We start from the raw sequence: 23,298 nt of genomic DNA, 5'->3' as shown, positions 1-23,298 counted from the left end.
CCTCCCGGGTTCACACCATTCTCCTGCCTCAGCCTCCCAAGTAGCTGGGACTACAGGTGCCTGCCACTGCATCTGGCTAATTTTGTTTTTGTATTTTTAGTAGAGATGGGGTTCCACCGTGTTAGCCAGGATGGTCTCGATCTCCTGACCTCTTGAGCCTCCTGCCTCAGCCTCCAAAGTGCTGGGATTACAGGCCTGAGCCACTGCGCCCGGCCCATTTAGCTCTTAAATAATAAGTGAGAACATGTGGTATTTGCGAAAACCATCAATTTTTTTTTTTTTTTTTTTTTTTTTTTGAGACAGAGTTTCTAGTTGCCCAGGCTGGAGCGCAATGGCGCGATCTTGGCTCCCTGCAACCTTTGCCTCCCAGGTTCAAGCGATTCTCCTGCCTCAGCCTCCCGAGTAGATGGGATTGCAGGCACGCGCCACCATGCCTGGCTAATTTTGTACTTTTAGTAGAGATGGGGTTTCTCCGTGTTGATCAGGCTGGTTTCTAACTCCCGACCTCAGGTGATCCACCCACTTCGGCCTCCCATAGTGCTGGGATTATAGGCATGAGCCACCACGTCTGGCCAAAACCATCAATTTTTATTGTTGATTGTTGGTGTAGTATTTACAAGAAAGGATAGAACGTAAATACTGACTCAAACAACAGCCCTATTTAGCCAGGTGTGGTGGCTCACGCCTGTAATCCCAGCACTTTGGGAGGCTGAGGCAGGCAGATCACTTGGGCTCAGGAGTTTGAGAGCAGCCTGGCCAATATGGTGAAATCCTATCTCTACTAAAAATACAAAAATTAGCCGGGCTGTGGTGGCACGCGCCTGTAATCCCAGCTACTCAGGAGGCCAAGGCAGGAGAATCGCTTGAATCCGGCAGGTGGAGGTTGCAGTGAACCGAGATTATGCCACTGCACCCCAGCCTGGGCGACATAGCAAGACCCTATCTCAAAAATAATAATAAAGTAAATAAAAACAACAGCCCTGTTTAACGTGGGGTAGTCTTTACAGGTCAGAAGTTTTTGGGCATTGGCTGGGTGCCGTGGCTCACGCCTGTAATCCCAGCACTTTGGGAGGCTGAGGTGGGTGGATCACCTGAGGTCAGGAGTTCAAGATCAGCCTGGGCAACATGGTGAAACCCTGTCTCTACTAAAAATACAAAAATTAGCTGGGCATGGTGGCAGGCACTTGTAATCCCAGCTACTTGGGAAGCTGAGGCAGTTGAATCGCTTGAGTCCGGGAGGCAGATGTTGCAGTGAGCCGAGATTTCACCAGTGCACTCCAGCCTGGGCGACAAGAGTGAAACTCCATCTTAAAAAAACAAAAAACAAACAAAAAAAGGTTTTTGGGTATCATTACATGATGTTATAATTTGATGATCAAAATAAGAACTTGAATATTTAAAAAAGATTAAAATATGTTCTGAACTGAGAAGTTTCAGAGTATTTAACAGTTTAAAAAGTTCTCATCACAACAATTTTAAACATTTTTTTCTTGAGAGTGATTTAATGTACTCCTGAATTTCCCTTATTCGGAGCTCTTTGTTCTTGAGCATACTGGACAGATGAGTTGCTATCATATCAGCATTTACTCTTATGTGTTTTCCGTAGCTTTTCTGGAAGTATAAAGAAGTTTAACAAGGGATATGATTTTCAGTGTAGGGAAAAAGATATGTTTTTGTTATTGTTTTGTTTTGTTTAGAGTCAGTGTCTTGCTATATTGCCCAGTCTAGTCTAGAATTCTCGGGCTCAAGTGATCCTCCTGTCTCAACTTCCCAAGTAGGTAGGATTACAGGTGCATGCCACGGTGCCTGGAATCATGTTTTTTGAGGGGAGGGATTATTTTAGTTTTCTTCGTATAGCTTTTCAGACTTTTGGGGTTTAACTATTCACCAAGAGAAATAATTTATTGCTATTTCATGCTTCAGCCATAGAGAGAATTACAAAATTATTCAAACATCAATTTTACCAACCTATAAAAGACCCATTTTCTTATAGCCTTGATTTCATCCTTATTAGCGTTACTTATTAGTACAGAAACAAATTCCTGTTATGACATCATTTTTTTTAAGCAACATTGAGTCTATACCATATGCCTGACACTGAGTTGCTAATAAGAAAAATATAGACATGGTTTTTGTCCACAGGGAACTCAAGATGAAATTGGCAGATAAAAACAGAATTTACTACTCTCTTATTATAAAATAATGCTATAGTAGCACCGTAAGTAAATTGCTATGAAGTTTGTGGATAGGGGGCTTCACATTATCCTATTAATGAGACATTGCTCAAACTTTAAACCTTTTATTTCAAGATTCTGGTGGAATTTTGTATGTATTTATTAGAAAGTTATTTAAGGCTTTTCTATAACTATGAATGTATGTTTCATTCTTTCATTAAAACAGAAAGTTAAGAAATTTTACCTGCTGCTTGGTTTTGTTTTAATGGCAAAATATTAGAACTAATGTGCAGAGTTAACCAGTGGTTTAAATCATTCAAAGAAAATAATAGTGTTTAGACGGTCTTACTTTAATGTCTTACCAGTGGGTACTTCCTAGACTGTGAATCGTCTCTGCTCAGTTGAGTGAATCATCTCTACTCAGTTCCGTTCAGAACGTAATTTAATCTCTTGATTTGATTTGATTTGATTTGATTTGATTTGATTTGATTTGATTTTTTGAGACAGAGTTTCGCTCTGTTGCCCAGGCTGGAGTGCAGTGGTGCGATCTCGGCTCACTGCCACCTTTGCCTCCCAGATTCAAGCGATTCTCCTGCCTCAGCCTCCTGAGTAGCTGGGATTACAGGCGCCCGCCACCATACCCGGCTAATTTTTGTACTTTTAGTAGAGACGGGGTTTCACCATGTTGGCCACGCTGGTCTCGAACTCCTGACCTTAGGTGATCTGCCCACCTCGGCCTCCCAAAGTGCTAAGATTACAGGTGTGAGCCACTGTGCCCGGCCAATCTCTCTCTTTTTTTAATACTCAAGTTCTCATTTTGATCATCCAGTTATAACATATAATGATGCCCAAAAACTTCTGACCTATAAAGACTATCCCAACATTAAATAGGACTGTTGTTTTATAGTCAGTGTTTATGTTCTGTCCTTTCTTGCATTAGTATTCTTCACTAAAACTAGATATCTACTGCCAGATAACTGTTAAATGGTCAGTAGGTTCTTACAATAAGGTGTAAAATCCTAGAAAAAAATGAACAGCTAACATTGTGTAGCCGGGTAAAAGGGCTGGAAGGAATGAGAGAGATGTAGATGTCCAAATTAGTCTTGCCTTGTGGTTTTTCCTTTCTTCAAAAACACCTTCACACATGCACTGCAATTTTTTCACCTTAAATATAGTCACGTTAGGCTATGTAACAAAGGTAGAGGTTTGTTTGCTTTAGTAATAGTTTTTTTTTTTTTTTTAATTAAAACAACTCTGGATAGATTAAGATTCTGTCATTTATATATTAATACGATTTTATGTAGGTGCAGTACTTTTTTTCCTAACCTAAGCTGAAATAATGCCATATTGTAATAAGGGCAGTTTTGATTGCTATCTTGAAGGGTTCAGGATATAGTTTATTTAGAGCATGTAACTCCTTGGGGGATAGTAAAGCAATCCTGGGTGGTTGAGCCAGGAAGTGATTTTTTTTCTGAGGGGCAGGAAATACGGGAACGTGAGATGGAATAGAGAAATATAAAGAGCAGCACTTAAAACTTTGTATTTTGCTACAAAAAATTAGCCGGGCGTAGTGGCGGGCGCCTGTAGTCCCAGCTACTTGGGAGGCTGAGGCAGGAGAATGGCGTGAACCCGGGAGGTGGAGCTTGCAGTGAGCCGAGATCCCGCCACTGCACTCCAGCCTGGGCGACAGAGCGAGACTCCGTCTCAAAAAAAAAAAAAACTTTGTATTTTGCTGGGGCCTCATTTAGGGAAGAAAGGGATAAGAGTTATCTTCCTCCTTATAGGAGGAAACTGCATAGTATATGGCTCTCTTCTTCCCAACTCATGATCATCATTGTATTTTAGTTACATTATTATAATAAATATGCCTGAGTAGGTTAGTTTGGGAAGCTTAACTACAATGTACAATGTTATTTCTTTAGAAAGGTAGTTTGAGGACAACTGGCTTTTCAGAACCTTGTGTCATAATCTGTGGACTACATCTATAAACAACAAATACTAGCAGCTCTAAGTTTATGTGAATTTTGGCCTTATAATCAAGTTAACCCAAATTGCAGAATTCAGTGCTAGACTGATAATGTTTTACTATTTGAATTTTTTTTTTAATGTGGCACAATTCTTTTAAGGTTTCAGGTACGTTCACCAACTTTCTTTCAAAAATCCCGGGACCAGCATTGGTACATTACTCAGTTGGAAGCTGCACAGACTAGTTATATCCAACAAATAAACAACCTTAAAGAGGTAAGAAAATATCTATTTCTGTTTTGGTGTTTCCTATTGTCCTTTTGGCTTGTTATATTTGTAATTAGATTTTATATATTTTATTGCTATTTGTAATTTTGTAATTTGTAATTAGAAAAAAAATCTAGTTATCTTGTTCCCCATCCTTACCAGTTCTGCAGTGTCCAGTTTAGTAGACACTAGCCACATACGGCCATGTAAATTTTTATTTTACTTTATTTATTTATTTTTTTTGAGAAGGAGTCTCGCTCTGTTGCCCAGGCTGGAGTGCAGTGGTGCAATCTCGGCTCACTGCAAGCTCCGCCTCCTGGGTTCACGCCATTCTCCTGCCTCAGCCTCCTGAGTAGCTGGGACTACAGGCGCCTGCCACCACACCGGGCTAATTTTTTTGTATTTTTAGTAGAGACAGGGTTTCACAGTGTTAGCCAGGATGGTCTCGATGTCCTGACCTCGTGATCTGCCCACCTCGGCCTCCCAAAGTGCTGGGATTACAGGCATGAGCCACCACGCCCTGCCACTTTATTTTTATTTTTTTTTATTTTGGAGACAGGTCGGACTCACTCTTGTTGCCAGGCACAATTTCCACTAACTGCAGCTTCAACTTCCCAAGCTCGGGTGATCTTCCCACCTTAGCCTCCCAGGTAGCTGGGACTACGAGCATGTGTCATGGCTAGTTTTTGTTTTTGTGGAGATGGGTTTCTCCATGTTGCCCAAGCTGGTCTTGAACTCCTGGGCTCAAGCAGTCTGCCTGCCTTGGCCTCCCAAAGTGCTGGGATTACAGGTGTGAGCCACTGTGCCTGGTCTGTAAATTTAGCTTAATTAAAATTAAAAATTTAGTTCCTTAGTTGCAGTAGCCACATTTCAAGTGCTTGCATTGGTTACTGCAAATCTAGAGCATTTCCATCATTGCATAAAGTTGTTTTGAACAGTGTGGCTGTAGTTTGAGGTAAGCTGTTTGTGTTTCTGTCAGTGACTTAGTTTCTCTTCCACAAGTTATCTTGGATTTAGAGGATTCTAGGCTATAGCACAATTAAAAGTTGTCCCATCTTGAACTCTTACTATTGTTGAATGAGCACTGGGGAAGATTAATTGATGAATTTTTATTTTACAGTGGTAAACTAAGGAATGTTTCATTTCCCTTAGGAAGTTAGGGTGTGGCAGGAGGTTTGGAGTGCTGAGAGTCGTTAATAGGTCAGGGAGGAAAATGTGAATAAATACATGCTTTCAGAGATTTTCATGTTAAATGTGCTATTTAAAACTGCCTGTATTCACTATACTGTTTGCTAATTGTATGTTTAGCTTAGGCTGGATATGAAAGAAGGAGGATGAGCATAAATGGGGCAGTTTATCTTTGTCATCAATTTTTTTTTATAAATAAAAGGCAGTAGGGATTCAGAGAAATGGTTTAAGAAATGGTGCCAAGTGAGGTGGCTCATTCCTGTAATCCCAGCATGTTGGGAGGCCGAGGCCAGAGGAACATTTGAGCCCAGGGGTTCAAAACCAGCTTGAGCAACATAGCAAGATACCGTCTCTAAAAATAAATAAAAATGAAATTAGCCAAGCATGGTGGCACACACCTCCAGTCCCAGCCACTTGAGAGGCTGAGGCAGTAGGATCGTTTGAGCCCAGTAGTTCAAGGCTTGCAGTGAGCTATGATGGCACCACTGCACTTCAGCCTGGGCAACAGAGTGAGACCATTCTCAAAAAATAAATAAAGCAATGGTTTTAGAAACATCTGGATGCATTTTTTTTTCACTTGAGACATCTTTTACTGTGCCAGTGAGCTGTGGCTAATATTTGTGCTTTTCTTGTTTTAAAAGAGACTTACTATTGAGCTGTCTCGAACTCAGAAGTCAAGAGATTTGTCACCACCAGATAACCATCTTAGCCCCCAAAATGATGATGCTCTGGAGACACGAGCTAAGAAGTCTGCATGCTCTGACATGCTTCTCGAAGGTGGTCCTACTACAGCTTCTGTAAGAGAGGCCAAAGAGGATGAAGAAGATGAGGAGAAGATTCAGAATGAAGATTATCATGTAATAATGAGGCCAGTTTTAGATTTTTGTGTTTGATTAAAAAAAAACAGTAGCATCATGGCTTTTAACATATTATGTGCTAAAACAGTAGGCTAAAAATATTGTCCATTGATTTCCATTAGTAATGTATGTATGCCCTTATGTAAATGTTAATAAGTCAGAAGTTGTTGAATCAAAGCATTTCAAGGTTGTGAAAAAAACAATACATTGTATAAAACAAACCGTGATACACATTTTAAAACCTAAACTACCATACATTGTGGATTTTAAAAATGTGTTCTGGCCGGGTGCGGTGGCTCACACCTGTAATCCCAGCACTTTGGGAGGCCAAGGTGGGTGGATCACATGAGGTCAGGAGTTCGAGACTATCCTGGCCAACATGGCCAAACCCTGTCTCTACGAAAAATACAAAAATTAGCTGGGTGTGGTGGTGCTTGCCTGTAATCCCAGCTACTTGGGAGGCTGAGGTAGGAGAATCACTTGAACCTAGGAGGCGGAGGTTGCAGTGAGCCAAGATTGTGCCACTGCACTCCAGCCTGGGAGACAGAGCAAGACTCTGTCTCAAAGAAAAAGAAAAAAAAAAGGTGTTCTATTTTCATTCACTGAAACTAGTACATGCCTTATCATTACTTACGTAGGTAGACTGATTTAGGATTCGGTAGCTAGCCAGGTTCTATCCCAGCTAAACAACAGTCAGAATCCAGAATAAGAGTTCAAGAAGTAGTTGATATTTTTACATAAGAAGGGATGCATAGACAGTTGGTTTTTTTGTAGTAATTTTTAAGATGAGAGACTTCAGTTTTAAGTTAAAATGAAGGACCCAGTGGGTCGAGAGAATGCACAGATTAAGTGCTTTGATAAACTAGAGATAATAGGGTTTGGAATGGAGCAGTCAGGTGAAGCAGTTAACCTTTGATAAACTGAGTTAAAGGAAGGGTGGAGTTTGCAGGTAAGGCAGCTGAAAAGTTGGGGAAGTTTTTGCTTAATAGTGGGTATTTTTTTTCTGTGCAGATAGGTGACAGTGTTAATTAATGACCTTGATAATGGTAAAATTAGGTAGAATTGAGGAGTGATGGTTTGAAACGTTACTCTGTGAGGAAGCTGATGTGGAATATGTGAAGGATTCCAGTCACACTGAGGGCCCAGCTGAAGGCGGCACGCATAAGTTAGTAAAATGATATCAGTCAGTGTGGTTGTGTGATTTTTCTCTACAGGGCTCAGCAGCTGAGGCACAGGAGCAGAAAATAGATTTTTGAAAACTGTATTATTCTTTGGTGCTTGGTTTATGGGCTGGATGGGGTGATCAACTGAGTAGAAACATTTGGAATAGACGTCTTGTTTTCTTGGCATTGATCTAGCACGAGCTTTCAGATGGAGATCTGGATCTGGATCTTGTTTATGAGGATGAAGTAAATCAGCTCGATGGCAGCAGTTCCTCTGCTAGTTCCACAGCAACAAGTAATACAGAAGAAAATGATATTGATGAAGAAACTATGTGAGTTTCCCACTTTACTACTGTAAAGCATTTAAGTGGTAATTATTAGAAGCATATTAACTAACTCACACTTAAATGTAGGGATATTCAGCACTTTTTTGAAAGATTGAATCAATAGTCAGTTTTCTCTCTCTAATCTCTGGGCTCTTAGCCAATAATTTTTGTTTGTGTTTTAACTTTTAAATTTGAATTTTGAAATTATTTTATACTTAAGAAAAGTTCAGAATTTCATGTTTCCTTCACACAGATTCATTCCCTATGAATATTTTGCTTTATATTTCTCTGTATATAATTTTTTCTGAAACACTTGAGATCGAATATACTTCTCATTGTGTACTTTTCTAAAAACAAGGATATTCTTACATAACTATAGAATAGTTATCAAAATCTGGAAATTAACATTGATGTAATACTGTAACCTTCTAAAAATTTGCCAGTAATGTCCTTTGTCAGGATCATGTTGCATTTAATTGTTAAATCGATTTAGTTATCTTCAATCTGGGTTACTTTTTTTTTTTTCCTTTTTTTTTGAGACGGAGTCTCGCTCTGTCGCCCAGGCTGGAGTGCAGTGGCATGATCTCAGCTCACTGCAAGCTCCACCTTCCGGATTACGCCATTCTCCTGCCTCAGCCTCCCGAGCAGCTAGAACTACAGGCGCCCGCCACCTCGCCCAGCTAATTTTTTGTATTTTTAGTAGAGACGGGGTTTCACCGTGTTAGCCAGGTTGGTCTTGATCTCCTGACCTCATGATCCGTCCACCTCGGCCTCCCAAAGTGTTGGGATTACAGGCGTGAGCCACCGCACCTGGCCAATCTGGGTTACTTTTTTAAAAATTTGTTTTTCGGCTGGGCACGGTGGCTCACGCCTGTAATCCCAGCACTCTGGGAGGCTGAGGCGGGTGGATCACGAGGTCAGGAGATCCAGACCATCCTGGCTAACACGGTGAAACCCCGTCTCTACTAAAAATACAAAAAAGAAATTAGCCAGGTGTGGTGGCAGGCGCCTGTAGTCCCAGCTACTTGGTAGGCTGAGGCAGGAGAATGGGGTGAACCCGGGAGGCGGAGCTTGCAGTGAGCTAAGATCACGCCACGGCACTCCAGCCTGGGCGACAGTTGAGACTCTGTCTCAAAAAAAAAAAAAAACTGTTTTTCATGACTAATACTTTCTGAGAAATACAGAATAGTTTATTTTGTAGAAAGTCCCTCAGTTTGGATTAGTCTGAAGTTTCCTCATGATTAGATAGAGGTTACACACTTTTGGCAGGGATACTACGGAAATGATAATGTATCCTTTTCACTGCGTCATACAGAGTGGAGCATGATGTCAGTATGTCCCATTACTTGTGGTTAATTTTGATCACTTAGTTGAGGTAGCATCCGCCAGGTTTCTTCACTCCAAAATTTGTACTTTTTCCTTTATAATTAATAAGTATCTTATGTATGGGACTGTAAATATCCTATTTTTCATCCTACTTTTTCCTATGAATTTTGACACCCTTTGATGAGTGTTGCCTGAAAAAGGTTACTGTGTTGATTGCCAAGTGGTGTTTTTCTAATTCCATTATTTCTTACTCATTCATTAGTTGCAATTTAAGGAAGAGCTTTTCCTTCTGCCCTGTTAATTGATGAACTAATGAATTTCATTAATGTGGATAATTTTTTTTTTTTGAGATGGAGTCTTGCTCTGTCACCCAGGCTGGCATGCAGTGTCACGATCTTGGCTCACTGCAACCTCCATCTCCTGGGTTCAAGTGATCCTTCCACCTCAGCCTCCCGAGTAGCAAGGATTACAGGCGTGCACCACCACGCCTGGCTATTTTTTTGTATTTTTAGTGGAGACGGGGTTTCACCATGTTGGCCAGGCTGGTCTTGAACTCCTGACTTCAGGTGATCTGCCCACTTCAGCCTCCCAAAGTGCTAGGATTACAGGTGTGAGCCACTGTGCCTGGCGATTTTTGGATTTTTAAACCAAGCTTGCATTCCTGGGACACATCCCACTTGGTCATAGTGTGTAATTTTTTTTCTTTTTTCTTTTTTTTTTTTTTGTGACGGAGTTTCGCACTGTCACCCGGGCTTAAGTGCAGTGGCATGATCTCGGCTCACTGCAACCTCCGCCTCCCGGGTTCAGGCGATTCTCCTGCCTCAGCCTCCCAAGTAGCTGGGATTACAGGCACCCACCACCACACCCAGCTAATTTTTTGTATTTTTAGTAGAGACGAGGTTTCACTGCGTTGGCCAGGCTGGTCTCAAACACCTGACCTCGTGATCCACCCGTCTTGGCCTCCCAAAGTGCTGGAATTACAGGTGTGATCCACTTCGCCCAGCCGTAATTTTTTTTTTCTTTTTTTTTTATTTGAAACGGAGTCTCGCTCTGTCCCCCAGGCTGGAGTGCAGTGGCGCAATATCCGCTCACTGCAAGCTCCGCCTTCTGGATTCACACCATTCTCCTGCCTCAGTCTCCCAAGTAGCTGGGACTACAGGTGCCCACCACCTTGCCCGGCTAATTTTGTTTTGTATTTTTAATAGAGATGGGGTTTCACCGTGTTAGCCAGGATGATCTCAATCTCCTGACCTTGTGATCTGCCTGCCTCGGCCTCCCAAAGTGCTGGGATTACAGGCATGAGCCACGGCACCCAGCAATTTTTTTTTTTTCCTAAGAGAATCTGGCTTTGTGGCCAGGCTGGAGTATGGTGGCATGATTATAGCTCCCTGTAACCTTCAACTCTGGCCTCAAGTGATCCACCTGCCTCAGCCTCCATAGTAGCTAGGACTACTGGTGTGCATCATCACACTCGGCTCATGATTCTTTTTATATGTTACTGCATTCTGTTTGCTAGTACAGTTGTCCCTCAGTATCCTTGCGGTATTGGTTCTAGGACCCCGCCCTTGGATACTAAAATCTGAGGATGCTCAAGTATCTTATATAAAATGGCAGAGTAGTTGCATATAACCTATGCACATCCTCCCCTATACTTTTAAATCATCTCTAGATTACTTATAATACCTAATACAATGCAAATGCTATGTAAGTAGTTGTTATACTCTATTGTATACAGAATAATGACAAGGGGAAAATGTCTGCGCATGACTTTATTTTGTTTTGTTTTATTTATTTTTTTTTGAGACGGAGTTTCGCTCTTGTCGCCCAGGCTGGAGTGCAGTGGCACAATCTCAGCTCACTGCAGCCTCCGTCTCCTGGGTTCAAGCAGTTCCCCTGCCTCAGCCTCCTGAGTAGCTGGGATTATACACGCCTGCCACTACGCCCGACTAATTTTTTGTAGTTTTAGTAGAGACAGGGTTTTGCAATGTTGACCAGGCTGGTTTTGAACTCCTGGCCTCAGGTGAGCCACAGCACCCGGCCGGCTTTATTTTTTGAGACGGGGTCTTGCCCTGTCACCCAAGCTGGAGTGCAGTGGTCGCGTGATCACAGCTCACTGCAACCTCGACCTCCTGGGCTCAAGTGATCCTCCCACCTCAGTTTTCCAAGTAGCTAGGACTACAGGTGCATGCCAACACACCTGGCTAATTTTTTAATATTTTGTAGAGACAGGGTCTCACTATGTTGCCTTACTATGTTCTAGGCTGGCCCGGAGCTCCTAGGCTCAAGAAGTCCCTCCAGCCTCGGCTTCCCAAAGTGCTGGGATTACAGGCATGAACCACCACACCAGGGCTTAAAAAATATTTTTGATCCACAGTTGGTTGAATGCACAGATGCAGAGCCCACAGATAAAGAAGGCCAACTATATTTCGTTGATGCTCTTAATAGTGTTGTATGTTTCTCTGAGTGTTGTATGTGTCTCTGCTTCTCCCCATAGGCAAAATCTCTGAGCCAAAGCTTTGAAGTTGGAGTAAGGATAAAGGTGTACCTCTCTTACTTTAGAAGCTGAGCTAACTGGATGTTGGGGACAGTAGCCTTAGTTCTTTCCTTTTCAGGCTTGGGACCTCCACCTTATGAATAAGCTGGGGCAGGGATGATCTGGGCCCCAGTATTCTCATCATGCTGCATCCAGGTAGAGCATCTAGTCCACAAGTGGGTCTCAGCAGAAGGGAGTCTCCACCTCTTGGCCGTGTGTGCCTGTACTATAGCATCAGCAATAGGTAGCTGGGGGCAGAATGAGAGATGCTGATACCTTGCCACTCCCAGGAATATAGCCCTCCTCTTGGAAGTTCGGGAAGTGGGAGGCCTGTGTTCTTCACTGCACCAGTCTGGAGTGGAATTTCTGTAACACCAAGTTAGGAAGTGGAGTGATCTTGGTTCAAATACTGCAGATGCCCACTTGTCTTACCCAGTTTTTATAGATTTTTTTGAGTAGATGTTTCTTCATTTGCTGTATGCCCTTGGGACCATTTCCAGAGTCGTTAAGTGGTTGTTTTTAAAATAATTGTCACCAGTTTGACTAAAGAGCAGACCTACAGAGCTCCTTACATTGTCAAGCTGGGTGCTTATCTTGAGATTTCCTTAAATACCCAAGACTGTCATTGACTGGTACTGTTTCAAGTAGTATGTTGTTTAAAATAAAGTAATAGTGATTGTTTTTTAACATGAGAGACTTTGTATGGCCGAGTAGGAAGTAATACCCTCTTTGCTGAAATATTATTTTTGAAAAATGGTATTTAGTCATATACAGTAATTTGGGCTTTTTTTGGATGTTAAAATGTAGTGTTTTAAGCCTAACACTACATGTAGTGTTTTAAGCTTATTGCCATTAAGCTACCAGTTCTCTGAAGCTGTAATTTCTTCTAACAGTGGTTCTTGTATTTATTAGTGTTTCTAACACTAATTAAATAGGAGAGATTAATCTCTTCTAATAGTGGTTCTTAGATTTTTTAGTGTTTCATTTATTTCTATTTTTTTGCCTGACACAGTTCTTTTTTTTTAATCTTCCTTTCCTTTCCTTTCCTGTCCTGTCCTGTCCTCCTTGAGACAGAGTCTCGCTCTGTCGTCCAGGCTGAAGTGCAGTAGTGCAATCTTGGCTCACTACAACCTCCACCTCCCGGGTTCAACCGATTCTGCTGCCTCAGCCTCCCGAGGAGCTGGGATTACAGGTCCCCACCACAACGCCCAGCTAATTTTTGTATTTTTAGGAGAGACAGGGTTTTGCCATGTTGGCCAGGCTGGTCTCGAAATCCTGACCTCAGGTGATCCTCCCACCTTAGCCTCCCAAAGTTCTGGGATTTCAGGCGTGAGTCACTGCGCCCGGCCTTGAGATATATATATATATATATATATATATTTTTTTTTTTTTTTTTTTAAATTCCTTTTTTTCTTAGCTTTCTAAGAAGAACTGGCTGATTTTTTTTTTTTTTTTGAGATGGAGTCTCGCTCTGTCGCCCAGGCTGGAGTGCAGTTGTGCAATCTTGGCTCACTGCAAGCTTGCCTCCTGGGTTCACGCCATTCTCCTGATTCAGCCTCCTGAGTAGCTGGGACTACAGGTGCCTGCCACCACACCCAGCTAATTTTTTGTATTTTTAGTAGAGACAGGGTTTCACCGTGTTAGCCAGGATGGTCTCGATCTCCTGACCTCGTGATCCGCCTGCCTCAGCCTCCCAAAGTGCTGGGATTACAGGCATGAGCCACCGCGCCCGGCCGATATTTTTTAAAGGTTGTTTAAACAATAACATTAACGCTACTTAAATTTGGAAAATGACAAAAATCTTTCTCCTTTTTGTATTTAGAAATATCTTATTTCACAGAAAAATCTGCATATCATAAAATTTATTGAGGTGTGAAAAACAACGTTTATTGTATCACTCTATATAAATGATGGATTTTGTATATTCTTAGGTCTGGAGAAAATGATGTGGAATATAACAACATGGAATTAGAAGAGGGAGAACTCATGGAAGATGCAGCTGCTGCAGGACCCGCAGGTAATGAGGTCACTCCACTGCCTCCAAGCCATTCTGTTTTCTCTCTGCTCTTCTCTGACTGTATTATATTTTAAATAGGTGGTAGCCACTGCTTGTACATGGTTCATGGTGTTGGAAGTGGTATATCTTATAATATGGATTTTTTAGAGTTTATTACTAAAGATATTTAAAACAATAGCTAACATTTGAAAAATGTTTTATGTACCAGGCACTGTGAGAAGCACTTTAAGTACCTTATATTAATAAAATTCTGTGTGATACATTCACTGATGCATAGAGAAATTAAAGCAACTTGCCAACTTTTAACAATTTAGTAAATGAGAGTAATTGAATCCCCAGATTTGTTTGTATCCCATGCTCATATTTTATACTATTCTTTCTGATATAAAGTCTTATTTGTATATCTTGCTAGACTATAGAATGATCTCAGTGGAATCATTGACTCTTAGACTTACGAAGGATCTTAAAGAGCTCATTTTATAGTTTTCAGTTACCTGGTCATATAGCTGGTTGTTAGTACAACCAGACTAGAACCCCAGATTGTCCTGGGTTTGTGGACCCAGCATTTTTCTCCCAAACTAAAACACTGCTTCTCCTGGGAAGAACTGACTTATATAATGAGTACTTTTTTGTGTGTTCTCGGATCTATTTAATTAAGTAGTGAATCTTGGTTAGAGTAATTAAAAGTTAGCTTTCTACTGTTTCTGTTTTACCCATGTTCTCCTCAGTATGAACACTGGCATATTCTTTTTTTTTTTTTGAGACGGAGTCTCGCTCTGTCGCCCAGGTCGGACTGCGGACTGCAGTGGCGCAATCTCGGCTCACTGCAAGCTCCGCTTCCCGGGTTCACGCCATTCTCCTGCCTCAGCCTCCCGAGTAGCTGGGACTACAGGCGCCCGCCACCGCGCCCGGCTAATTTTTTGTATTTTTAGTAGAGACGGGGTTTCACCTTGTTAGCCAGGATGGTCTTGATCTCCTGACCTCATGATCCACCCGCCTCGGCCTCCCAAAGTGCTGGGATTACAGGCGTGAGCCACCGCGCCCGGCCTGGCATATTCTTAATATGCTGGGATAACTAAAGATTTCTTAAATACTAGTCCTCACCATTTCAACTCCAACCTAAGCTCTATATTCTTTCTACTCCTGACTTTAATCCTGGGTAATCTTATCCACACCTGTATTTCAGTTACTGTCTATATGCTGATTACTTTTCAAGTTCTTTCTTTAGCCTTTGTCTTTCCATAGTTTCCAAACCCATGTCTTGGTGTGTGATTCAGCACTTCCCAAACACAAATTACTGTCTTTTCATCTGCCAGCCTGCCTGTCAGCAGTAGCCACCGTGACTGATAATGCTATACATTCTTTACTTCTTCCTCTCCCTAAAACTTTACCTTTAGTGTATTACCAAGATCTGTTGGTTCTGTGTCCTAAATCGTGCATAAATTCATTTGGTACTCCCACTCCTTTGCCATTTCTAGTCTAGGCCTCTGTCTTTCACCTGGGTTCCTTGTATTTATTATTGTTCCCCTCCATTGTATTTTTACAGCATGGATTCAGAATGAGGGTGTTTTTTTCTTTCTGATTAATATCTAATCATGTTACTTCTCTACCAGTCTTGGTGACTCACGCCTGTAATCTCAGCACTTTGGGAGGCTGATGTGGGTGCATCGCTTGAGTCCAGGAGTTTGAGACCAGCCTGGGCAACGTGGTGAAACCTTGTCTCTACAAAAAAATACAAAAAAATTAGCCAGATGTGGTGGCTAAATTGCTGCCTGTGGTCCCAGCTATTTGGGAAGCTGAGGTGGGAGGATCACCTGAGCCCAGGAAGCGGAGCCTGCAGTAAGCTGAGATAGCACCACTGTACTCCAGCCTGGGCAACAGAGTGAGACCCTGTGTCAAAAATAGAAATAAAAATAATGAAAAATAATATCTAATCATGTTATTTCTCTACTTAAAAACTCTTTAAGGATTATATTTATTATAGGATAAAGTCCAAACTTGTTAACATGGCACATAAATTCCTTTGTGTCTGGATTCCTGTTTGTTTCCTTAGCCTTATTTCTGTCATTCCTCTGTATCATTCTTTAGTCAGGAGGAACTTCAAAGAATCACAAGATCTACCAATTTGGAGAGAAGAGCTTTAATTCTTATAAAGACTGGCCATCCTGGGCCGGGTGTGGTGGCTCACACCTGTAATCCCAGCACGTTGGGAGGCCGAGGTGGGTGGATCACGATGTCAGCAGATTGAGACCATCCTGGCTAACATGATGGAACCCCCTCTCTACTAAAAATACAAAAATTAGCCAGGTGTGATGGCAGGCGCCTGTAGTCCCAGCTACTCGGGAGGCTGAGGCAGGAGAATGTCGTGAACCTGGGAGGCGGAGCTTGCAGTGAGCTGAGATTGCGCCACCGCACTCCAACCTGGGTGACAGAGCGAGACTCCATCTCAAAAAAAAAAAAAAGACTGGCCATCCTGACAGGCTGGGAAGTGTGGCCTCTGGCAAAGACTAAAAGCAGGCACTTTGCAGGAGGGAAGGGTAACATAGGAATTGATGCTGAATAAGTTGGCCAAGTACAACTAAATCGATTCAGCAGGCTATAGGAGGAGCTGTGAACATCATGAAAAGGGAAACACACGCATGCATAGTAGACAAACATGCATGTTACATGCATTTCATGTTTACTTTGGAGTGGGGACTGAACAATTTAAATGCATTACAATTAGGCCCTGTTGTCAAAAGGTAAAGCCAAGGACACGAAGGCACTCAATGCTCAGCCTCTGTATACGGGCCAGAACCAGTCCATGGTTGGCGACTCCTATCAGGAGAAAGTTACTGAAATCAGTCTCTTGTCCAGTCAAAGCTGTAGTTACGGCTGTGGAACAGGGAGTGAGTCAGTCAGCATCTGGCAGTCAGTAAGCTGCAATTGTTTCAATATTGCTTATCTTGAGGCCAGTGCTTGCTTAGCTTCTAGAAAAAAGAAGAAATTCTGTTGCAGTTAGAATGTAGTTTATTCTTTAAGTATAGGGAGCGTGTGACTTAATCCTTGTCTGGTATGGCATTAGGTCTTACTGACTGACTAACTTTTCAGCCTTGTGTGTTTTCTTTTAGTTAGGTCCATTCTTTCCTCTCTTAAACTGTGTGGTAGAGAGATTCTTGTATATAACATTTATATACACTTAGGGTAAAGAAGAGTTTACATTTTTGAATTATATATTCATCAAATATTTACTGAGCACTTGAGCTGTGTACAGTTTTACTATCTAGAGATACAATATTGAATAACAAGATATCCCTGTTCTTATGGAGCCTATGTTATAATTCTGAATATTCTGTAATAATCCAGGCACTGTATTCTAGATGTTGAAGACATAATAATGAACCAGTTTATTTTTATTATATGCTTTGGGAAATTTATGTATTTGGCAGAAATTTGTTAAATATCATGCCTACCTGGAACATACAACACTAAGTAATTTATAACCTAAGGGTGAGTATATTTATGAACAATTAGCTAGAATATGACAATGTACATACAAAAGAATTCCAAATCATTTAAATACTCCCTTCTCAAGGAGATGAAATATAACTTCTACCCCTTAAATGTAGGCTGTGCTTAGTTACTTGCTTCTGAATAGTACAGTTTCAAAAGGGGGAAACAACTTTGAAGTAGAGAAACTTGGCAAACATTACCTACCCAGGTGATTAAATTTAGTATTGTAAGTGATAGGTCATGTTGATAGCATGTTGACAGTATTGTAAGTGATAAGTCATGTTGATATGTTGACAATGGTACTTTATATCTGTAGTATCTTCCCCCTAAAAACCCACAAACACAATCTAATCATGAGGGAAAAAATCATACCCTTAATTGAGGAACATTCTACAAAATATTTGACATACTTTCAGACATAAGGAAAGTCTGAGAGACTGTCATAGACCAGAAGAGTCTAAAAAGACAGGAGCAACTAAATGTATTTCAGTACTCTAGGTGAGACTCTGGAACAGAAAAAGAACATTAGGGGAAAACTACTAAAATCTCAATAAAGTATAGGATTTAGTTAATAATATATCAGTATTGGTTCATTAGTTGTGACAAATATACCATAGTAATGAAAGGTATTAACATTGGGGAAATTGGATCTGGGTTGTACAGGAACTCTCTGTATTTTTACCTTTCCTGTAAACCTAAAACTATACTAAAATAAAAAAATTAAAAAAGCCTTTTTTTTTTTTTTTTTTTTTTTTTTTTTTTTGAGACAGAGTCTTGCTCTGTTGCCCGGGCTGGAGTGCAGTGGCATGATCTTGGCTCACTGCAAGCTCCGCCTCCCAGGTTCACCCCATTCTCCTGCTTCAGCCTCCCGAATAGCTGGGACTACAGGCGCCCGCCACCACGCCCGGCTGATTTTTTGTATTTTTAGTAGAGATGGGGTTTCACCGTGTTAGCCAGGATGGTCTCGATCTCCTGATCTTGTGATCTGCCCTCCTTGGCCTCCCAAAGTACTGGGATTACAGGTGTGATCCACTGCACCTGGCCAATAAAAAGCTTTTTAAACCAAGGCAATGAAAAAGCTAGATCGGGGTGACACTGGGCAGAGTGTGGAAATGCTTTTTTTTAATATGCTTATTATGAAGGTCCATTTCAAGCCTCGAATGGTTTATGTGTTTTTTGTTTTTGTTTTGTTTTGTTTTGTTTTTTGAGATGGAGCCTTGCTGTATTGCCCAGGCTGGAGTGCAATGGCACGATCTCGGCTCACTGCAACCTCTGCCTCCCGGGTTCAAGCCATTCTCTTACCTCAGCCTCCCAGGTAGTTGGGACTACAGGCATGCACCACCATTCCAAGCTAACTTTTTTGTATTTTTAGTAGAGATGGGGTTTCACCATGCTGGCCAGGCTGCTCTCAAACTCCTGACCTCAAGTGATCCACCCGCCTCAGCCTCCCAAAGTGCTGGGATTACAGATGTGAGCTACCACACCTGGCCTGGTTAATGTTTTAGAACTACACAATTGTCTAAAGAGTTATGTGATCTAAAGAATTACGATGTTAAGTTATGCGTTAAAAAGGGGATGATTGGGCTTATATAAAAGCTAGGTATAAAGTTAAATGTTTACTTAATAATCTTATTTTATAGACCATATTAAATAAGGAGATAGCTTGAAACAAGAAATATTTATTGACTCAACTGGCTGTAGTCCTGGCTACTTGGGAGACTGTGGCCGTAGGATCACTTGAGCCTAGGAGTTCGAGGGTACAGTGAGCCATGATTCTGCCACCGTACTCCAGCCTGGGTGACAGAGCAAGACCCTGTCTCTTAAAACACACGCGTGCACACACACACACACACACACACACACACACACACACCCCCAGCAAATACAAACTAGATTTTTCCTACTCACTGGATTCAATGAGCCAATAATCTGGATTAGAATGATACTTAAAACCTTTTTAGCACAAATTTTTTTTAACATAAATTGTCTTTCATTTAACTTCAAATAACTGAATAAACTAAAAGCAGTTCTCATAAGAAGACGTCTGCAGATGCTACCACGCCCAACTAATTTTTTATAGAGACGGAGTCTTGCTCTCTTGCCCTGGCTGGTCTCCAACTCCTGGCCTCAATTAGTCCTCCTGCCTCAGCCTCCCAAAGTGTTGGGATTATAGGCGTGAGCTATTGCACCTGGACCACAGATGTTAGAAGAATGAATGAGCATAATTTTTAAATGAAAATCCAGCACTGATCATTACAAGATTTTGTGATGGTAAATATCGGTATGTAATTTGTAACAAAGTGAAGGATGTGAAAATGTAGAATATTCTGGAAAGGTAGTTTGAGACTAGACTATAATAGGGCCTTGAGTGTCATGATAATGCATACAGGCAGTATGCTGTAATGAACTCAAGTATATAAGTGTGACATTTTAGCAAGATCCATATGGCTTGGCACAAATGGAGAAGAACCTGTCACCGATCCGTCTGTCTTTTTATGAGGTTTTTTTTCTATGTGAACTTCAGAAGCATGGTTTTTGTTGTTTTTTTGTTTTTTTGGTTTTTTGTTTTTTTGTTTTTTTGAATCTCGCTCTGTTGCCCAAGCTGGAATGCAGTGGCACGATCTCAGCTCACTGCAACCTCTGCCTCCTGGGTTCAAGCAATTCTGCCTCAGCCTCCCGAGTAGCTGGGATTACAGGTGCCCTCCACCACGGCCAGCTAATTTTTGTATTTTTAGTAGAGACGGTTTCACCATTGTGGCCAGGCTGGTCTTGAACTCCTGACCTCGTAATCCACCTGCCTCGGCCTCTGAAAGTGCTGGGATTACAGGCGTGAACCACCGCGCCTGGCTGTATAGCTTTATTCTTAATAGCCAAAAGCTAGAAGCAACCCAAATTGTTTTCCAATAGAATAAAGAAATAAATTGGATATATTCATAAATGGATGCTGCACAATAATAATGAAAATGAGGCAGTGGCTCATGTCTCTAATCCCAGCACTTTGGGAGGCTGAGGCATGTGGATCACTTGAGGCCAGGAGTTCAAGACCAGCCTGGCCAACATGGCGAAACCTCATTTCTACTGAAAGTAGAAAAAATTAGCTTGGTGCAATGGCGCACGCTTGTAACCCCAGCTACTCGGGAGGCTGAGGCACAAGAATCATTTGAAACTGGGAGGTGGAAGTTGCGGTGAGCCAAGATTGTGCCACTGTACTCCAGCCTGGGTGACAAAGCAAGACTTTGTCTCAAAGAAAAAAAGAAAAATATTTAAAAAGAAAATGAATAAGATACTTCTATATACAGCCATATAGATGAATCTCATGAATAATGTTGACCAAAGAAGAAGAGCATAAGAGCATACTCTGTTACTACTTTTATACAAATACAAAACAGGCAAAACCCATCTGTAATTTAAGTTAGGATGAAGGTTATTTTTGTAGAGTAGGAGTAGTGAGCAATTTTAGGAGGCATAGGAGGGGGTTCTGGGGTACTGATAATATATTTCTTCATCTGGGTGTGATCACTTTGTGAGCATTCATTGGGATGTACATTTATATATGAGACACACAGAATAGCTTGGAAAGAGAGAAACTGAAATCAGTGCCAACCCAAAGTCTTTGATGCCTGTGGGGAAATGTGATAGTGGGTAGAAAGGTGGGAACATAGGCCGGGCACCATGGCTCCTGCCTGTAATCCCAGCACTTTCGGAGGCTGAGGCGGGCCAATCACCTGAGGTCGGGAGTTCTAAGGCCAGCCTAACCAACATGGAGAAACCCCGTCTCTACTAAAAATACAAAATTAGCCAGGCATGGTGCTGCATGCCTGTAATCCCAGCTACTAGGGAGGCTGAGGCAGGAGAATTGCTTGAACCTGGGAGGCAAGACTCCGTCTCAAAAAAACAAAAAAGAAAAGAAAGCTGGGAACATTTGAAAGGGGAGTAGCCAAAGGTCATACCCACATTAAAAAAAAAAGCAGTTTTTGTTCAGTAGTGAGAATAATGGCCTGAAAAAGCAGTGAGAAACAGGAGACACCGCTTTCTCTACTGTAAGTGCCTTTAACATGGAAGAATGAGCAACTTACATTTTTAAAGGAGAATCAGATATTAGGGCAATAGATTCCATTCACTGGGCTACTGGACTTAACTATACATAAGAACGATCTGAGTAGCTTTTTGGGAAAAAGTCCTGGATCTCACCTCCGTATCCTTTTTTTTTTTTTGAGATGGAGTCTCACTCTGTCAACCAGACTAGAGTGCAGTGGTGTGATCTTGGCTCACTGTAACCTCTGCCTCCCAGGTTCAAGCAATTCTCCTGCCTCAGCCTCCCGAGTAGCTGGGATTACAGGTGCCTGCCACCACACCTGGCTATTCTTTTGTATTTTGGTTTCACCATGTTGGCAAGGCTGGTCTCTAACTCTTGACCTCAGGTGATCTGCACACCTTGGCCTCCCAAAGTGCTGGGATAACAGGCGTGAGCCACTGCACCCAGCTTCTCACCCCAGTATTCTTGTTCAGTGTATCTAGGATGTAATTTTAAAAACTCCTTCAGCTGACTGACATACAACCCAATTTGGGAATTCCTTAGTAAAAGAAAAGAGGTAAAAACAGTTTTCAGCTGGGTGCGGTGGCTCACACCTGTAATCCCAGCACTTTGGGAGGCTGAGGCGGGCGGATCACTAGGTTAGGAGATCCAGACCATCCTAACACGGTGAAACCCCGTATCTACTGAAAATACAGGTGTGGTGGTGCATGCCTGTAGTCCCCACTACGGGAGGCTGAGGCAGGAGAATCGCTTGAACCCAGGAGGCGGAGGTTGCCGTGAGTGGAGATCGGGCCGCTGCACTCCAGCCTGGGCAACAGTGAGACTGTGTCTCAAAACACAACAAAGAACAGTTTTCAATGTGAAGGGGAAATCGTTTTCTGTTATTTAATAGGAATTGCAGTAATACAGAGGCTGGGAAGAAAAACTGTCAGTGAGATAATAATCCTTAGAAGAGGAGGCAGAAGTGGGAGACAGTGAGAACATGAGGATGTGAAAAGCATAAATTATTAATTGGCTTGAAGCTTCTGAACAATGGAACTTTCCTCCTAAGTTATATCCTGCTGGATCTCTCTGAAATACTCATGGGTAGTTGGAACCTGACTTTTTAATATTTTATATTATCTACTTTCCTGCGTGTAGCATTGTTTTAAAATGTTCTATCTCTTTAAAATATATTTAAACAGCTTTATTGAAGAAGGTCAGTTTTAAGCAACATTTCCATATCTGGTATTTGTTATGCATTATACTAGGTGCTAGAGAAAAGTCAGATGCTTTTCTTGGCTTAAAGAGCATAGTCCAATATAGGGGTATAGGCATAATATCTGCCTACAGATGTCTGTAATGTGCATCAGTCATTAACATGACAGTCCAAAAACTTCAAATTGTACCCCATTATTTAATCAAAGTAGAAAAAGTCTACCAAACTGTCATGACCTATACATTTTACTGTCCAGAGACTTGGGGGAGATTTCTATTTTGGTGTCTAATTCTTTGTAATCTGTTATACTATGGGAATTTGTCTTCTTTTATCTAAAACCAGGTGGTCATGGGATATAATCTCCTTCTCCTTACCCTTACCTCTCATCCCCCCAATTGTGCACATCGTACACATTGTCATCTGTTTTTTTCTAGGGCTCAGGATGGGGTTGAGGCTTGCTTCTGAATTCTAAGTACTAATGAGGCCACCACTCAATCACTGTGCTAATGTACAACTGTCTGGTTCCTTCTTTCTTTTTTTTTTTTTTTTTTTTTTGAGACGGAGTCTCGCTCTGTCGCCCAGGCCGGACTGCGGACTGCAGTGGCGCAATCTCGGCTCACTGCAAGCTCCGCTTCCCGGGTTCACGCCATTCTCCTGCCTCAGCCTCCCGAGTAGCTGGGACTACAGGCGCCCGCCACCGCGCCCGGCTAATTTTTTGTATTTTTAGTAGAGACGGGGTTTCACCTTGTTAGCCAG

The 23,298-nt window shown here is 41.8% G+C and overlaps 1 protein-coding gene across 47 annotated transcripts in view; it reads left to right on the top strand.

Annotated features, from left to right (window-relative positions):
• The window catches only part of TRIM37 (tripartite motif containing 37), a 139,680-nt gene that overhangs the window by 51,252 nt on the left and 65,130 nt on the right, over nucleotides 1-23,298 (top strand). For all 47 annotated transcript variants that reach the window (NR_148347.2, NR_148346.2, XM_047436110.1 and 44 more), the window contains 4 exons: nucleotides 4,301-4,415; nucleotides 6,236-6,451; nucleotides 7,810-7,946; nucleotides 13,731-13,816. Coding sequence is in view for 45 of the 47 variants with exons in the window: in XM_047436110.1 (XP_047292066.1) it covers nucleotides 4,301-4,415; nucleotides 6,236-6,451; nucleotides 7,810-7,946; nucleotides 13,731-13,816 (554 nt within the window). In the remaining 2 variants the exon portion in view is untranslated. The remainder of the gene's footprint in view (nucleotides 1-4,300; nucleotides 4,416-6,235; nucleotides 6,452-7,809; nucleotides 7,947-13,730; nucleotides 13,817-23,298) is intronic.

This window comes from Homo sapiens, chromosome 17 (genome assembly GCF_000001405.40).
Source record: "Homo sapiens chromosome 17, GRCh38.p14 Primary Assembly".
NCBI lineage: Eukaryota > Metazoa > Chordata > Mammalia > Primates > Hominidae > Homo > Homo sapiens.
This window is presented reverse-complemented; position numbering and strand designations above follow the sequence as displayed.